This window comes from Homo sapiens, chromosome X (assembly GCF_000001405.40).
Source record: "Homo sapiens chromosome X, GRCh38.p14 Primary Assembly".
NCBI classification, from domain to species: Eukaryota; Metazoa; Chordata; class Mammalia; order Primates; family Hominidae; genus Homo; species Homo sapiens.
The window spans coordinates 49,028,086-49,044,468 of NC_000023.11; the positions used below are offsets into that span (position 1 = coordinate 49,028,086).

The 16,383-nt window shown below is 52.2% G+C and overlaps 1 protein-coding gene across 4 annotated transcripts, besides 3 other annotated features; it reads right to left on the reverse strand.

The window, feature by feature from the left end:
- Nucleotides 641-15,272, reverse strand: TFE3 (transcription factor binding to IGHM enhancer 3). 4 transcript variants are annotated; one of them, XM_024452432.2, is made up of 11 exons: nt 15,026-15,272; nt 12,370-12,483; nt 11,022-11,325; nt 10,112-10,357; nt 9,925-10,029; nt 6,049-6,166; nt 5,641-5,697; nt 5,380-5,455; nt 5,051-5,096; nt 3,312-3,459; nt 641-2,516 (listed from the first exon to the last, which is right to left on the reverse strand). In XM_024452432.2, the coding sequence occupies exons 1-11, from the start codon at nt 15,139-15,141 to the stop codon at nt 2,431-2,433; spliced, it is 1,416 nt and encodes a 471-aa protein (XP_024308200.1). In that variant the 5' UTR covers nt 15,142-15,272; the 3' UTR covers nt 641-2,430. The 4 variants fall into 4 exon arrangements, 3 of the variants coding, with proteins under 3 accessions (XP_024308200.1, NP_001269071.1, NP_006512.2); NM_001282142.2 differs by lacking the exon at nt 5,051-5,096 and having other exon boundaries at nt 11,022-11,260; NM_006521.6 differs by lacking the exon at nt 5,051-5,096.
- Nucleotides 11,759-12,053: an enhancer, noted in NCBI's record as "tiled region #2669; HepG2 Activating DNase matched - State 5:Enh, and K562 Activating DNase unmatched - State 1:Tss". NCBI's record gives its function as "activates a minimal TATA promoter and a strong SV40 promoter by Sharpr-MPRA in HepG2 and K562 cells {active_cell/tissue: HepG2 | K562}" and the evidence as "EXISTENCE:reporter gene assay evidence [ECO:0000049][PMID:27701403]".
- Nucleotides 14,598-15,461: an enhancer, noted in NCBI's record as "H3K27ac hESC enhancer chrX:48900209-48901072 (GRCh37/hg19 assembly coordinates)". NCBI's record gives its function as "activates a minimal SCP1, AML or CMV promoter by ChIP-STARR-seq in naive H9 embryonic stem cells {active_cell/tissue: H9 hESC(naive)}" and the evidence as "EXISTENCE:reporter gene assay evidence [ECO:0000049][PMID:30033119]".
- Nucleotides 15,003-15,242: a silencer, noted in NCBI's record as "silent region_20831". NCBI's record gives its function as "represses an Ori minimal core promoter by ATAC-STARR-seq in GM12878 lymphoblastoid cells {active_cell/tissue: GM12878}" and the evidence as "EXISTENCE:reporter gene assay evidence [ECO:0000049][PMID:35858748]".

The following is a 16,383-nucleotide window of genomic DNA, read 5'->3' on the forward strand; positions in this document are numbered from 1 at the left end:
TGGTTGAGAAATTGCGGGAAAATACTTTTTCCCAGCCTTCAAGAAGATACTTGTGTTCATTTAAATTCTCCCAAAATCTCAACATCTGTTCCAAAATTCAGTTGGTTGCTTGTTCCTCTGCCTTTCAGATATTTGTCTTTGTCCTTTCCACCATCTTAAATACCTCTGTTGTCTGCCAGGAAATATCCTCATAGACTTCTTTATCAGTTTCAAAAGTGGATTTGCAAGAAAAGCTTCTTTCCCCCTCTGCCCTCAGTGGCATTTTTCAATCGAGCCCTCACTCACCTGACTTTACTGTTTTACCGCCTCACCCATTTACAGGCTTGCATATCTTCAGAACAGTTCAATTCTATTCCTCAGCTTCTTCAAAGACCAAATGGAAGTAAGAAGCAGCATGTTCTGACTAACATCCCTTTAGAGAAATAAATTAGATGAAACACTTGCAGCAGTTAAAATTGTGCCTGGTGATTGGTCTTTAAAAATACTGTCTTTTGTTTGCATATTGTCTTCCTCCATGCCCTCTTCCTTTCTAAATTCTTTTATCCATCCTTCTGGAATCTGTTTCTCCCAAGGACTTTTATCCCTCTTGGCCTGCATGGGCTATGTTCACTGCACAGTGTAAAACAAGGACAGGAGACTCTTTGCCAAAGTTAAAAGCGCATCAAACACGCCTAGCTTTTATTATTTTAATCACAAACCTATAGACCCCTCAGTATACCCTCCATGGGGCCTGGCCCCAGCAATCCAAAGCTGACAACCTTGGGTGTAGGTATGAGGGGTGGGAATGGAGGGGGGAGTGTCTCTTGATAACTCTGAAATGGGGTGATTCCTCCAAATGAAGAACTGGGTGGGGAACAGAGGTTGGGGTGGCCTAGATTCTCAGTATGCGGAGCAATAAAAAAATCAGATAAACAAATGAGGGGGTACAATATGCTTTTACAACCCTCCTCCAAGCTTCTGCCTTGCTGGGGGAAGGCTTCCAGTTTTTCCTGGGCTGGGGAGGTCCCAGGATAGCCCCTTCCTTCATCCTCTTGCCCTACATGTTGAAAAAGAATACTGAGGTACTGGTTCTGGTAACCTGAACTCAGTCCCCCACTAATACCCATCACCTTCCCAAACTGCCCCTCAAGGAAGAAGGCAGGACTCTGCCCAAGGGTGGGGGCCTCTCACTCCAGATATAGGTCTGGAAAATTCATCCATGAAATTTCATAATCTGTCCCCTTCCCCAAGAGCAAGGTTGGCTCAGAGCCCTCCTAGGTTAGGTCAGGTTGGTCCCAGGTTAAGGCAGGGGAGCTTAAGTACCACTCCTCCCTGCAGTGTGGAATGCTTAGATGGGATGTTGCTGAGGGACAAGGGTGGGGCTGTGATCTCCACAAGCACTAGCGGTGGCCTGGTCCTACTGATTCTTTCACACCTGAAATACCTGTGCTGGGCTGTTCCTATAGGGAAGGGGTGGGGCCTGGCTCCTCCATTCCTAGAAGGCCAGGAGAGTTCCCAGGGGAAGGGGCTGGGTCTCATCCTCACTTCTGTTCCTTGCCTGGGCAGAGCAGGGCAGGGTTCATGGGGAAGGGGCAGAGCTTAAACCCCCAGGGCTGGGACCTCCATTACTTGACTCCTCTTCTGTGCCAGGACGGACTAGACTGGTGGTTCCAAGACAAAGGATGGAGCAACATCCTGACATCTCCCTTTCCCAGGAGACCTGGCTAGGACAGTCCCTAGGGGACAGGGTCGAGACCTCATCCTGTCTCCTTCCCTCACCTGGGCAAGGATGAGTCCCACAGGGGCAGGGGTGAGGCTGTGATCCCCAGGGGGCAGGCCCTGATCTCATGTCCTTCTCCAGCCTTCTCCTTCTGAAATACCTGCACTGGGCGGTTCCTTTGGGGAAGGTGCAGGGCCTCATCTGACTCCTCCTCCTTGCCTGATTACAGGGGTGGGGCCTGATCACATCTCCTCTTCCCCCAGGATACCTGGGCAGGGCAGTCTCATGGGAGGGTGGGGGAAAAGGCGGGGCCTCATCCTGACTGGTCCTCCTTTCCTGGGTGGGAAAGTCCCAGGGGAGGGGTGAGGCCTGATCAGGACTCCTCTTCCATGCTGAAGCTGCTGCGGCGGCTGCTGGCCTTGGAGACAGCAGGGGACACTGAAGAGAGCAGGGGATCGGAGGCAGCCCGCAGTGGGGACAGGGCACCCCCCGACAGTCCTCCCACCACCCCCTCCTCCTCCTCCATCAGAATGTCCTCCAGCCCCAGGTGGAAGGGGTCTCCCAGGTCCCCCAGGTGGTCGCTGGGAAAGTGCAGGTCCAGAAGGGCATCTGAGGGCGGTGCAGGGGGCTGCTGATGGGGAGCATTCTGGGCAGGTCCCCCCCCTACATGGAACGTTGCTGCGCCTGGCCTGCCCTCCTCCTCAATGTCCAGCTGCTCTGGCTTGAGGCTGTCAGAAGCCGAAGTCGTGGCCAAGGAAAGCAGCCCTGGAGTGGGAGGTACTGGCAGGCCATGGATCTGGGCCTGCAGTTCTAGTTCCTGTAAAAAATAGGGGTTGGGTGCAGGATAAGTAGGGTTCAGAGTCCCTCAGAGGCAGAGGAGTATAAAGGTTGAAAAGGGTAGGTTCCCTGGGTTGGAATTCAGCTTCTGCTACTCACTAGTTCCAAAACTTTAGGCAAGGTGCTTAACATCTCTGAAGCTTCAGAGTCGCAAACTGTAAAGTGGGTATATAATAATGGCCCCTAGGCTGGGCGCGGTGGCTCACGCCTGTAATCACTTTGGGAGGCCGAGGCAGGTGGATCACCTGAGGTCAGGAGTTCGAGACCAGCTTGACCAACATGGAGAAACCCCATCTCTACTAAAAATACAAAAATTAGCTGGGTGTGGTGGTGCATGCCTATAATCCTAGCTACTCAGGAGGCTGAGACAGGAGAATTGCTTGAACCCGGGAGGCGGAGGTTGCGGTGAGCCGAGATTGCGCCATTGCACTCCAGCCTGGGCAACGAGCGAAACTCCATCTCAAAAATAAATAAATAAATAAATAAAATAATGGCCCCTATCTCATAGAATTCTGAGGATTGAATAAGTTAGTGGATATAAAGCTCTTGTCACAGTACAGAGCACAAGATAAATGCTATGTACATTAGCAATATTATTATCCTTGTTAATATTATGATTATTATTTATCATTATCACTATCATCATCGTGTGATCTGGGAAGCCCAGGGATCCCCCAAGTATGCCAGGAAGGGAAACCCTGGCCTGCTCTCTCTCTGCCTCCACCTGCAGGAAGCTCTCCCCCTCTTCCCCCACCACCATCTCCTCTTTTCAAACCTGAATTCGGAGCTGCAGGCTGCGGTTGGCCTGCTCCAGGGATCGCTGCCGGCTCTCCAGGTCTTTGGAGCGCTGCTGCTCCTTCTGCAGCTTGCGGATATAATCCACAGAGGCCTTCAGGATGGTGCCCTTGTTCCAGCGCATCTCCCTGTGGGGCCCAAGTGGGAGGCAAGCAGGAAATGCCACATGAGGAGTTTCTCAGGAGCTGAGGCGGGGATTGCACCAGGTGGGAGCCTCCCACCACATGCTTAGAACTTGAGGCTGGGGTCTTTCAAAGGTATGGAGTATCCAGAGGAAAACTTCCCGCCTGGAATCTTACAATGGTGCCCCATCACACTCCAAACCCTGGAAGCCGTCTCTGACCTGACCCCTTAGGATTCCTCTCTTCCCTATGTCCCTCCGATTGATCTCACTACAGCCACATTGGTCTCTCAGTGCTCCTAGAATATGGAAAACCACTCCCATCTCAGGGCATCAATCCCAGCCGTGCCCTCTGCCTTGAATACTCTTACCCCCAGACACCCATGCGGCTCCCCGCCTTGCCTCCTTAGGCTCTTTATTCAAACGTTTCCTTGTCAGTTGGGGCCTGCCCTGTCCTCACCTTCCTTATCCCAAACTAACCCTCCCCAACATTCTCCCATTTTCCTTCCAGTCTTTATTCTTCTCATAACACTCATCATAATGGATCTCATGGATGTTTACTTATTTACTATTTGTCTGCCCCCACTAAAACATCAGTTTCATGAGGTCTGTTTTGTTCCCTCTGGTATCTTTAGGGCCTAATATGGTACCTGGCACAAACCAGAGGTTCAAAAAATAAATCTTTCTCTTTTCCTTTTTTTTTGCGGGGCGGTGGGGGATGGAGTCTCGCTCTGTCACCCAGGCTGGAGAGCAGTGGCACAATCTTGGCTCACTACAACCTCCACTTCTCAGGTTCAAGCGATTCTCCTGCCTCAGCCTTCTGAGTAGCTGAGATGACAGGCCTACGCCACCACGCCCAGCTAATTTTTTTTGTATTTTTTGTAGAGATGGGGTTTCACCATGTTGGCCAGGCTGGTCTCAAACTCCTGACCTCAGGTGATCCACCCGTCTCGGCCTCCCCAAGTGCTGGGATTACAGGTGCCCACCACCACGCCCCGCTAATTTTTATATTTTTAATAGAAATGGGGTTTCACCATGTTGGCCAGAATGGTCTCAATCTCCTGACCTTGTGATCCACCCGCCTCGGCCTCCCAAAGTGCTGGGATTACAGGCGTGAGCCACTGCACCCGGCCATCTTTTTTTTTTTTTGTTTTTGAGACAAAGTCTTGCTCTGTCACCCAGGCTGGAGTGCAGTGGCACCATATTGGCTCACTGCAACCTCCACCTCCCGGGTTCAAGTGATTCTCCTGCCTCAGCATCCCGAGTAGCGGGGATTACAGGTGCGTGCCACCACGCCCAGCTAAATTTTTTTTATTTTTAGTGGAGACAGGGTTTCACCATGTTGGCCTTCACCTCCTGACCTCGTGATCCGCCTGCCTTGGCCTCCCAAAGTGCCAGGATTACAAGTGTGAGCCACTGCACCTGGCTAATTTTTGTATTTTTTAGTAGAGACGGGGTTTCATCATGTTGGCCAGGCTAGTCTGAAACTCCTGACCTTAGGTGATCGACCCCGCCTTGGCCTCCCAAAGTGCTGGGATTACAGGCATGAGCCACCACACCCGGCCAATAAATAAATCTTGAATAAATAAAGGAAGTACCATTGCACCACTGCACTCCAGCCTGGGTGACAGCGTGAGACTCCATCTCAAAAAAAAGAAAAAAAAAAAGGAAGTACTAAGTGAACAGAAAAGTAGGTGCATATATCCTACGGGGACCAGATGGGGCACACAGACCATAACATTATGTGCCTAAAATTTTAGGTGCTGACATAGTGAGGGTCTGCAACCCTGCTCAGGCTGAGAAAGAACCAGACAGAGGAGAAATGCCTGGGCCGAGACTGCCTGGTGAGCCCACCAAGGCACAATTTTAGTAGCATGGGACGCCTGCCCCACCTCCCGCTGGCCTGAGGGTCCCAGCCCAGACTCACGGGTCACTGGACTTAGGGATGAGAGTGCCCAGTTCCTTGATCCTGTCGTTAATGTTGAATCGCCTGCGACGCTCAACTTTGGAGAGGGGAGGAGAGGAAGAAAGAGTGGGAGAAAGAGTTGTCAATTAGCCAAAAATGGAAGAGACAGAAAGTAGGGAGTTGGGAGGCTGTTGCAGGGAAGGAGTTCCCCATGGGGGGCCAGGACTCGGGGTGAGGCAGGCCTGCACAGCACCCGGGCAATGCACACGCTCTCTGGCTTACTTAGGTTGTGATTGTCTTTCTTCTGCCGTTCCTTCAAAAGGGCCTTTGCCTCGGTCTCTGGAAAAGAGTGGAGTGATCAGGGCCTCTGAGCACAGGAAGGCAAGAAACACATGCAGATACTAAGGTAGGGTTTGGTAGCCAAAAGCAGGGGAAATGCCTTTTTTAAAAAGTGCCTTCTTTTTACTATTTTAAGCCATGGTGATAGGCTGGTTGTTAAATCCAAGACGAGAGGAACTGAAGTGGGGTGAAAGCAAGACCACAAGCCATAGGGGGAAAGGGGACAAACAGCCTCCATTTCCATATGTCCAAACCATTCCCCTCAGAATCAGGCCCATCTCTAGACCTGGTAGGCACAGGGCTCACCTGGGGTAAAGTGTAGGGCCATGGGGCCAAGACCCTATCACCTACCAGAGATCTCCCGTTTGATGTTGGGCAGCTCAGCTGGGCAGGAGTTGCTGACAGTGATGGCTGGTGTGGCCACGCCTTGACTACTGTACACATCAAGCAGATTCCCTGACACAGGCAGCTGGGGGCAGAGAGGGCAGAGAACCACCAGTTGGGAACAAACCCCAGGCTTGGCTCCTCCTCAGAACCAGGTTCCTGAGCTTCCACATATCCCAAAGATGGGGCACCCTCTAATGCAAGGACTGGCTGACTCAGCACCAGAACCCTTGCTTCTCCTTCAAGGCAAATTCACATGGCGACCAAACAGGGAGGACAGAGCAAACTGGACCTACCTTGCTTCGCTGGGAGACTGGAGCCTGCCTGGCCTGCTTATCACTTCCTCCAGTCCCTCATATCCCTCAGTGACCTCTAAAGCCCCTTTCCCAAACCCCGGGGCTGGCTCTGAGAAGAAATGCTGGAAAACCACCCTTCTCAGGTCTTTGTCGGCTCTGATGGGACATTCCAGTCCGTTAGCTCCTCCCAGCACAACATTCCAATCCAGCATTCTTGGAACACTCCAACCCAATCTTCTCCGACCTTGGTAAATTGTCATGACAACATTCTATCCAAAATCTGGCCTTCTGGAGAATTCCAACCTAATCTCCAGTCTTTCACTCTGATCAAGTTGTACCATCTTCCACTCTGATCAAGTTGTACCATCTTCCACATCAGGGTCTCCTGCTGCTGTGGACCAAGGTCCTGACTCCAGTATCTTCCTGCACATTCTGTTCTCTCAGGAGATTCTTATCCAACTATTCAATTAGCACTGCTTTATGTCAGCCTAGTTTTTTTTTTTTCCTCTCCTTCACACTTTCCTGGATATACTCCAGAGGAGCACGTCAATCTTAAGTATACCCAGGGCCAGGTGCAGTGGCTCACGCCTGTAATCCCAGCACTTTGGGAGGCCAAGGCGGGCGGATCACTTGAGGTCAGGAGTTCGTGACCAGCCTGGCCAACATGGTGAAACTCTGTCTCTACTAAAAATACAAAACAACAAAAAAAATTAGCCGAGCATGGTGGCCTGCACTTGTAGTCCCAGCTACTTGAGAGGCTGAAACAGGAGAGTTGCTTGAACCCAGGAGGTAGAGGTTGCAGTGAGCCAAGATCACACCACTGCACTCCAGCCTGGGCAACAGAGCAAGACTCTATCTCAAAATAAATAAATAAATAAATAAATACAAATAAAATAAAGTATATCCAAATCCCACTTCTTCATGAGTTTTAATCTCTTTTTTTTTTTTTTTTTTTTTTTTTGGAGACGGAGTATCGTTCTGTCACCCAGGCTGGAGGGCAGTGGCGCAATCTCGGCTCACTGCAAGCTCTGCCTCCCGGGTTCACGCCATTCTCCTGCCTCAGCCTCCCGAGTAGCTGGGACTACAGGCACCCGCCACCACGCCCAGCTAATTTTTTCGTATTTTTAGTAGAGACGGGGTTTCACTGTGTTAGCCAGGATGGTCTGGATCTCCTGACCTTGTGATCTGCCCGCCTCAGCCTCCCAAAGTGCTGGGATTACAGGTGTGAGCCACCGTGCCTGGCTGAGCTTTAATCTCTTGAACCCACTTCCAGTCTGGTGGATATAAGGTCCCATTCTCTAGTTGTGTCCAAATCAATAAAAAGTTCTGATAAATTAGTCCCATTTTTATACATGCTTCCATCCTATTGATAAGTTGGAAAAAAGCAAAACTACAGCCACTTGGTATGCTCTAAAGCAAGTTATGAGACCAGGCATGGTGGCTATGTCTGTAATCCCAGCACTTTGGGAGGCCGAGGTGGGCAGATGGCTTGAGCTCAGGAGTTCGAGACCAGCCTGGGCAACACAGTGAGACCCTGTCTCTACTAAAAATGCAAAAAATTAGCCAGGCATGGTGACACAAGCCTATGGTCCCAGTTACTTGGGAGGCTGAGGTGGGAGGATCACTTGAGCCCGGAAGGTGGAGGCTGCAGTGAGCCAGGATTACACCACTGCACTCCAGCCTGGGTGACAGAGCAAGATCCTGTCTCAAAAATAAATAAATAGGCCGGGCGCGGTGGCTCAAACCTGTAATCCGAGAACTTTGGGAGGCCGAGGCAGGTGGATCACCTGAGGTCAGGAGTTCGAGACCAGCCTGACCAACATAGTGAAACCCCGTCTCTACTAAAATACAAAAATTAGCCAGGCGTGCTGGCGGGCACCTGTAATCTCGGCTACTTGGGAGGCTGAGGCAGGAGAATTGCTTGAACCCAGGAGGCAGAGGGTGCAATGAGCAGAGATCGCACATTGCATTCCAGCCTGGACAAGGAGAGTGAAACTCCATCTCAAAAAAAAAAAAAAAATTCAATAAAAAATAAATAAATAAATAAATAAAGCAAGTTAGGCCAGGCATGGTGGCTCATGCCTGTAATCCCAGCACTTTGGGAGGCCGAGGCAGGCAGATCACAAAGTCAGGAGATTGAGATAACCTGGGTAACACGGTGAAACCCCGTCTCTACTAAAAATACAAAAATTAGCCGGGCATGGGGGCACGCGCCTGTAGTCCCAGTTACTCAGGAGGCTGAGGCAAGAGAATCGCTTGAACTTGGTAGGCGGAGGTTCCAGTGAGCCGAGATAGCACCATTGCGCTCCAGCCTGGGTGACAGAGCAAGACTTTGTCTCAAAAAATAAATAAATAAATATAATAAAGCAAGTTATGAGACTCTTGGAGTGTTCAAAACCAGAATGTTACAATGGTATATCCCTTGCTCTAGAAAGTTTTATCTACTGACTAGAAGGACTCTGCCTCCTGGCACAGTTCACTTGGTATATTCCAATCACTACGAGATCCAACTACTTGTTATAACCCACAGCAAGTTTGAAAACTTTTGTTATGCTTCAAGGCCAGGCGTGGTGGCTCACACCTGTAATTCCAGCACTTTGGGAGGCCAAGGCAGGTGGATCACTTGAAGTCAGGAGTTCAAGACCAGCCTGGCTCACAGGGTGAAACCCGGTCTCTACTAAAAATACAAAAATTAGCCAAGCGTAGTGGCGTACACCTGTAATCCCAGCTACGTGAGAGGCTGAGGCACGAAAATCGCTTGAACCCAGAGGCTGCAGTGAGCCAAGATCGCACCGCTGCACTCCAGCCAGGGTGACAGAGTGAGACTCTGTCTTAAAAGAAAAAAAAGGTAAAAATAAAATAAAACAAAATGCTCCAATCATTACATGGTCTGGTGTATATGTCCCGATGACCTGAATCCCTTGGTACATTCAAGTTGCTATAAGATGCTCATCTCGGCCGGGTGTGGTGGCTCACGCCTGTAATCCCAGTACTTTGGGAGGCCGAGGCAGGCAGATCACGAAGTCAGGAGTTCAAGACCCGCCTGACCAACGTGATGAAACCCCGTCTCTACTAAAAATAGAAAAATTAGCTTGGTATGGTGGCACGTGCCTATAATCCCAGCTACTCAGGAGGCTGAGGTAGGAGAATCGCTTGGACCTGGGAGGCAGAGGTTGCAGTGAGCTGAGACCGCGCCACTGCACTCTAGCCTGGGTGACAGAGCGAGACTCCGTCTCGAAAAAAAAAAAAAAAAAAGATTATCATCTCTTGGTACTTCTCACAGCAAAGCCCAAGCACTTTGATATGCCCTACTGTCTCAGTGAACTCCCCACCTGTATCTCTCACAGTCTACATGGTCCACCTCTCAACACAGTCCAACAAGGTCCAAAGGCATTGTTGACATACCCTGTTCTCGTCATAAGGCCTCCCTCTCTATCTTAGCACAATCAAGGCAAGGGTCTCCTATACACACAGCCAGACTGAGTATGGTCTTGGTGATACAGAAATGCCCTAATTTTCAGACCAACCTCCCATCTCAGGGCCTCACCGTGCTGGGGAGCTGCAGTCCTGTGGTGCCTCCGGGCAGATAGCTGAGCATTTCATCATTGTAACTGGACTCCAGGCTGATGATCTCATCAATGACATCATCAATCTAGGGGAAGAAGTAAATATTATACAGGTTTAGAAGAATTTGGGAGGGGAATGTGGGAGGAGGTTTGGCTGTAGCCTCTTACCTCCTTCTCTGAGCTGGACCCGATGGTGAGCAGCGCCATGGGGCTGTTGGGCGCACTGCCTGTGGGGCCGGTAGTGTGGGCAGCCTCAGGGGCAGGCAGTGGCTGGGCACTTGCGGGCCCCGGCGGTGGGGTGAGGGCCTGGGAAGCCAGCTTGGGCCCGAGTGTGGTGGACAGGTACTGTTTCACCTGCTGCCGGCGCGCCTGCTGCAGGTGGTAGCGCGTTGGGTTCTCCAGATGGGTCTGCACCTGTGAAATAAGGTAGACAAGGAAAGAGAGGGGACAAGGCAGAACAGGACTCAAAGGGGTGAATTCTGAGCCCCAGCCTGACCCTCCTAACTCATTGGTGCCTAGACTCACGCAGACAAGCTGGGCCCAGAATCTGAGAACACCCCAAAAATATTAGCGAGTCTCCCCCAGGACCCAAACTCTCTTTCTCAGAAATCCTTCACAGCTGCCAAGATCCACCCATGACTGACAGGATCCCTCGTAGTTTCTGGAAAACCCTGTCACAGTCCCCAAGATTCCCCACCTAGTCTCTGACACCACCTAATAGACCTGGGAACCATACAATGCTTCCCAAGACCCCCTAATGGCCAAAGAACTAATGTATCCCACACACATGAAGCTCTTCCTACAAAGCCAGGGCCCACTTGGGGCACTCATGAGCCTCCATGGTCCACCAAGACATCCTCATGGCCCCCACGAACTCCTCGCAATTTCACAAGATCATCTCAGAAACCCAAAACACATGAGACATGAACACAGATAATTTAAACAGTACCAGGGACCTTCCTTAGAGCCCCTAAGACCTTGCCCCCAAATCACCAGTGCATCGAGGCCATCCCTAGCTCCTAGGATCACTCCTCAGTCACCAGGAGCCCCCTCCCAGGGCCTCTGGATCTCACCTTACCTTGAGCACCTCCCTGGGCACCTGAGCAGGGGGTGGACGGCTCAATGTGTGGCCCCCAGCAGAGACGCCAACCACAGAGATGGCAGGAGAGGCAGGTGCAGGACTGGGGAAGGGAGCCGCGGCGGCCTGTTCCCGACGCTCACGCCTCTCCTGCTCCTGCGCCTGGGCCCGCATTAGCTGCTGCCGCAGCAAGACCCTCGATGAAGAAGATGACGACATGGCAGGGGTCCTGGAGCCCCCTGCAGAAGACGATGCAGAGAGTGTAGCTGGGGTGGCTGGTGTGGCCTGCAGTGATATTGGGAGGCTGTGGAATGGGAAATATGGGGCCATATTTTAGGTAAGCTAAAAGTCTCATCCCAAGCCTAAAGGGTCTTAGCGTGACGGAGCAGACACAGGAACCAGGCCTGTTCTCTGCCTTCCGAGGCCACAATGTAGAAGCAGAGACACAGGAACCAGGCTTGGTGATGGCTCTCAGGGGTCACAGTCTGATGGGGGACACACTGGAGGTCAGTCTGGTGGGGGAGTTTTAGCCTTTGGTCCTTATGGTGAAGCCTAGATTTGAGCCTGTTCACATATTAAGTGGAGATGCTATTGTTCAGCTCTGCAAGGGGGGGTTTGTCCTATTTACAGGAGAGCAGAAGAAGCAGAATTGAGGCTTTGGCAGCAGAATGTGGATACAGAGGGCTCCTAAGCCCAATGTGAGGCTAGAGAAGCTCTCTGAGCTCCTGGGGGTGGGCGTCAGGTGATAGGAGAAGCCCCAGGTTCCTCTTCTTCCCCTGCCTGGGCCTCTGGTCCCAGGAGCTAGTCAGTCTTGAAAACCTCGGAGATTTCACAATACTCTCTTCCTGCCCCTCTTCCCCCTCCCCTCCCCTCTCTCAGAGCCCGGGCCGATGACTCAGCACATTTAGACTTCCAAGCTTGGGGAAAGAAGAGACCAGCAGGGGCTCCTCAAGGGCTGAGGGTGGGTGAGTTGGTAGTGTGGGAAGGGACTGAGTTGGGGCTAGAGGCATGTCCCCGCCCACCCGGGGACATGAGTTTAAGCAGGCCACGCCCTATCTCTGAGCACTCCAGGCCGGCTGGAACACCTGAGGCTGAAACACTTGCATATGAATGGGTGTGCAGGTGGGCTGGGGGCAGGCAGGGGAGGTCTTGACAGAGATACTGGAATCCTAGCTTGGCCACCTACTTTCCTGTGTGACATGCTCTTTCTGGTCCCTAATTTTACCACCTAGAAAACGCAGGCTGGTGAAAGAATGGGTTGGGCTGGTACTGAGGGCCTCTGCCCATCAAGAGGGGAGAGGAGGGCTGAGGAATTGGGAGGGGAATCAGATAGACAAGTCATACATACCTTGAGCGAAGGGGTAAGGGTTGGCTTTTGAGCTCGTAGAAGCTGTCAGGATCAAGGACGTTTTCTAATTCTATGTCAGCAACAATCCCGGATTCCGGAAGCAAAGAGTTCAGGCTGAGGGGGAGGTGGAGTGGTGGTCAGTGATTGAATGAAGGACCTTATTCCCCAGCCCTCCCCTGAGACAGAGAAAGAGAGAGAGAGGGGGGGAGAACGAAGAGGAGGGTACAAGCCCCTCATATTTGGCCACCTTGCTGGGTACCACACCACCATGAATTCCCACCTCCTTCCCCCATCCCCCTTTCCCTTCCCCACTGTGTTACTCATAGTCCCTTAGGAGTCAGAATAATAAGAACGCCTGCATCCCAACCCCCACACTGTAACAACCTGGGTTTGAGGAAAACAGAATTTAGGAATAACAATTCACTTTATAGAAGGATTCCTGACTTCCTATTCAGAGTTCTCCCAGCCCCCATACCCCCTACTTTTTTTTTTTTTTTGAGACAGAGTATCGCTCTGTCACCAGGCTGGAGTACAGTGGTGCGATCTCAGCTCACTGCAAGCTCTGCCTCCTGGGTTCAAGTGATTCTCACGCCTCAGCCTCCCGAGTAGCTGGGATTACAGGCACACGCCACCACGTCCGGCTAATTTTTGTATTTTTAGTAGAGACGGGGTTTCACCGTATTAGCCAGGATGGTCTCGATCTCCTGACCTCAAGATCCGCTTGCCTCGGCCTCCCAAAGTGCTGGGATTACAGGTGTGAGCCACTGCGCCCGGCCAACCCCCTGCTATTTTCTTTACAGCTGAATGTGAGCCCAGGTATATGTGTGTACACACACACACACACAGAGCAAGTAGGGGCATCCCTCAGCATAACAGTCCCTTGTAACACAAACTGAATGCATCACAAAGAGAACTGGAAATAATTCACTTGACGTAAAGATCTACCATTTCACAAATGAGTTTCTCCCAGCCCCAGCCAGAGTTCATGGGATGCCAACACATGCCTAAATATAAAATAGAAATATCAAAGGCTCCCCTCGCTCCAACAGACTGGATTTACAAGAGGGAGAATTTGGGTGGTTGATCCACTTTATACAAGCATTCTTTTCTTACCGGAGGAGCCTGCCCAGCCTTCTCCTGTTTTTTTGGATAGATCAAAACACACACACACCCCCAACACTAACACCCACTGGCGCACAAAATAAGAAGCCATATACACCCATCCCTTTAACTATGTCCACTACTGCGATGATCTAGGTTGTTACAGAGGAATTAGAAGATGGTGAATCGATATACAGAAAGGCTCTGCTCAGCCCCAGAGAGCAAGGGACAGTTAACACACACGTGGATGAATATGCATCCTTCAATTTAGCTAAACATTTAGAATGCTGAGAGATTGCTGGTGACTTCACTTGACAAGAATCCTCTCCCCTCCCCAAGGATCTGTCTTCCTTCCTCTCCTCACCCTCAGATGGAGCCCTAAAACCACCCAGGAAGTTGGGAAGAGGAAGCTCGGGCGAGCCACTGAGCTCAGCACAATCCCAGGCACAAAGGAGGCAAAGACCCCCCCCCACCCAGGGCTCACACACCCATTGCACAGAAGTTGGAAGAGATGGGCACTGGGGTGAGCAGGGAGGGCTGGGGCTCCAAAGCCCATTGATGAAAGTAAGGATGAGAAGAGGCCAGAGGGGATCCACCCAGGCAGGGATGGTGCAATCTGTACTCGTTCCAGCTCTATGGACAGATTCAAGATTACCCCCAGGAGCTCGGAGATCGAAAAGAAGATAAAAAGAAAAGGGGTGTGGGGCTAGGGAGTGGGAAGGGCTGAGAGGCTAGAGCGAGTAGCAGCATGAACAAGAGCCTCCTCTGGGTTCCCAAACAAGGTCTGAGGCCTCTGAGCTAAGAGGTAACATCATCGCCCTCTGCCTGGCTGTCTATCTTCCATTCAGGCCCTTAACAGGTGTGGGAAGAGGGCTTTTCCACTATCCTTGGGATCTGCCCCAGCTGGGTAGGCGGGCAGAGGGGAAAGGATTATTCTGGTCAAGTCTTGCTGAATGTTGCTTCTCTTGTTCATTCACACGCACTCACAAGGCTGGTCCCAGGCAGCATATCTGAGATACCTCCAAATCCCTCCAGATTCATGTTATCCCCAAACACAGCAACCAGTCACTGAGAGGCACCAAGCTCCCAAGACAGCACTTCTGTCCCTCAGGACCCCTTCTCCCACACTGAGGGAAAAAAGATTCTAGGATTCCCTTAAAACCAGTGCCTCACCTGACAGTGTCCCCTCAAATTCATTCCCCTCATGTCCGACTGAAAATCCCCGAATTCAGCCTCTAATCAGAGACCCTGTCTACCAAGTTCAGCTATCTCAGACCAGTTTCTGGATACTCCAGAATAGGCCCCTCTAGACGCAGTCAAGGGCTCCCCAAACCTGACCCAGACCCCGCTTAATGCACTCCCACGACTCCTTTAATAAAGCCACAATCCAAGCAGGCCACTGCCGGATTCCTTAGGTGCCCCCCCAAGACGGGCGCCCCGACGTCCTCCAAGGCTAGGCCGAGGGCCTCCAATCCCAGTCCGGGGCCCCCACTGCCCCCGAGATCAGGCCCCTGGGAGCCCCAGTCGGCACTCCCAGCCCCAGGCGGCCCCGCACCTGAGCAGCTGAGCCGAGTCGGCCGGCCTGCGCTCCTCCAACAGCACGAACACGGCTCGAGGGCCCTCCGCGCTGGCCTCTACGCCATCCCGAGCTGGTTCGGCCGCATGAGACATGACGCCCGGCCCCGGGCGAGCCCTGCCAGGCCGGTCGGGCCTCGGCCCGGTCCCCCTAACAAAATAAGAGTCCCCCCTCCCCCCAGCTCGCCACCGCCGCCTCCTCCGCTAAGCCATGGAGCTAGCACTGCGCGGGCGGGCGGCGTCGGGGAGATGGGATGGGCTGTGAGTCATCCCCCGCCCAGAACGGACCGACGCCCCCCCTCAACCTAACCCCGGACGACCGCCCTCCTCCCCCTCGTCTTCTTCCCCCTCCTCCCTCCTCCCAGGGATGGGGAAACTCCACAGGAAGTGACCGCACTGGGGATGGATGGCCCGTCTGGCCACGACCCATTAGCGAGGCGGCCAATCGCTGAACGGCGATTCGAGGGCCCACCCTAAGCGACGCCTCCGACGCGGAGGAAAAACGCGATTCGGCCCGCCCTCATTCCGAGAAGCAGCACCCAGACCACGCCCTCAGGGGCAGCGACAAATAGGCGAGGGTTGATTTGGTTGAACCACGCCTCTATGTTTGCGTCGCTTTCGGAGCCACGCCCTCTCTTCTCAAATTATCCCTCTGCAAGGTAATATTAAGCCGCTCCTTGGGTCCTCTGCGCCTGCGCATCGATGGCCAGTCGGCGCACGGAGGGTCTCCTGGCCAAGCTTTTAGCTGCGGAACCGCGCCCTCTTTCGGCCAATATTTGTAATATCTGAGCCCTAGACCGCGCTCCAACCTCGATCTGGCTGTGCTCTCTCAGCCAAAGCCATAACTATGAGGCAGAGGCAGCTACATTCCCTGAAGGTGCGGGCCAGAAACCCCCCCCTTTCGCTGTCCGCAGTCCAGCCGCCCAGCTGGTCTTCCGGGAGTATTCCGCCTGTTCCATGCCATCGAGAGCGGTTGTACTATGTTCATTGCGCTGCGCAATATGTGCTTAATAAATTCTTGACGGGTGAATGAATCTGGTCCCTTCGGTGAATGACGACTTCTGGAATCACAAAGATCCAGGTTTGAATAGGGAAGGGGACCTCCCCTCTCCCAGCCTCAGCTTTCCTGGCCTGTTAAATGGGGGTCAAAATACCTGTCTGGCAGGGTTGTTCTGAGGATTAAAGATAATGTATGAAAAGTGCTAGCAGGTTGTTTGGCATACAAGAAGCTTCCCAAAATTAGTTGATTCACTCATTTGTTCACTTATTCAACATTCACTGAGCGCTTCTGTATGCCAGACGCATGCAAGCCGGCTCGCACAAGGCGGAGGGTCTCAC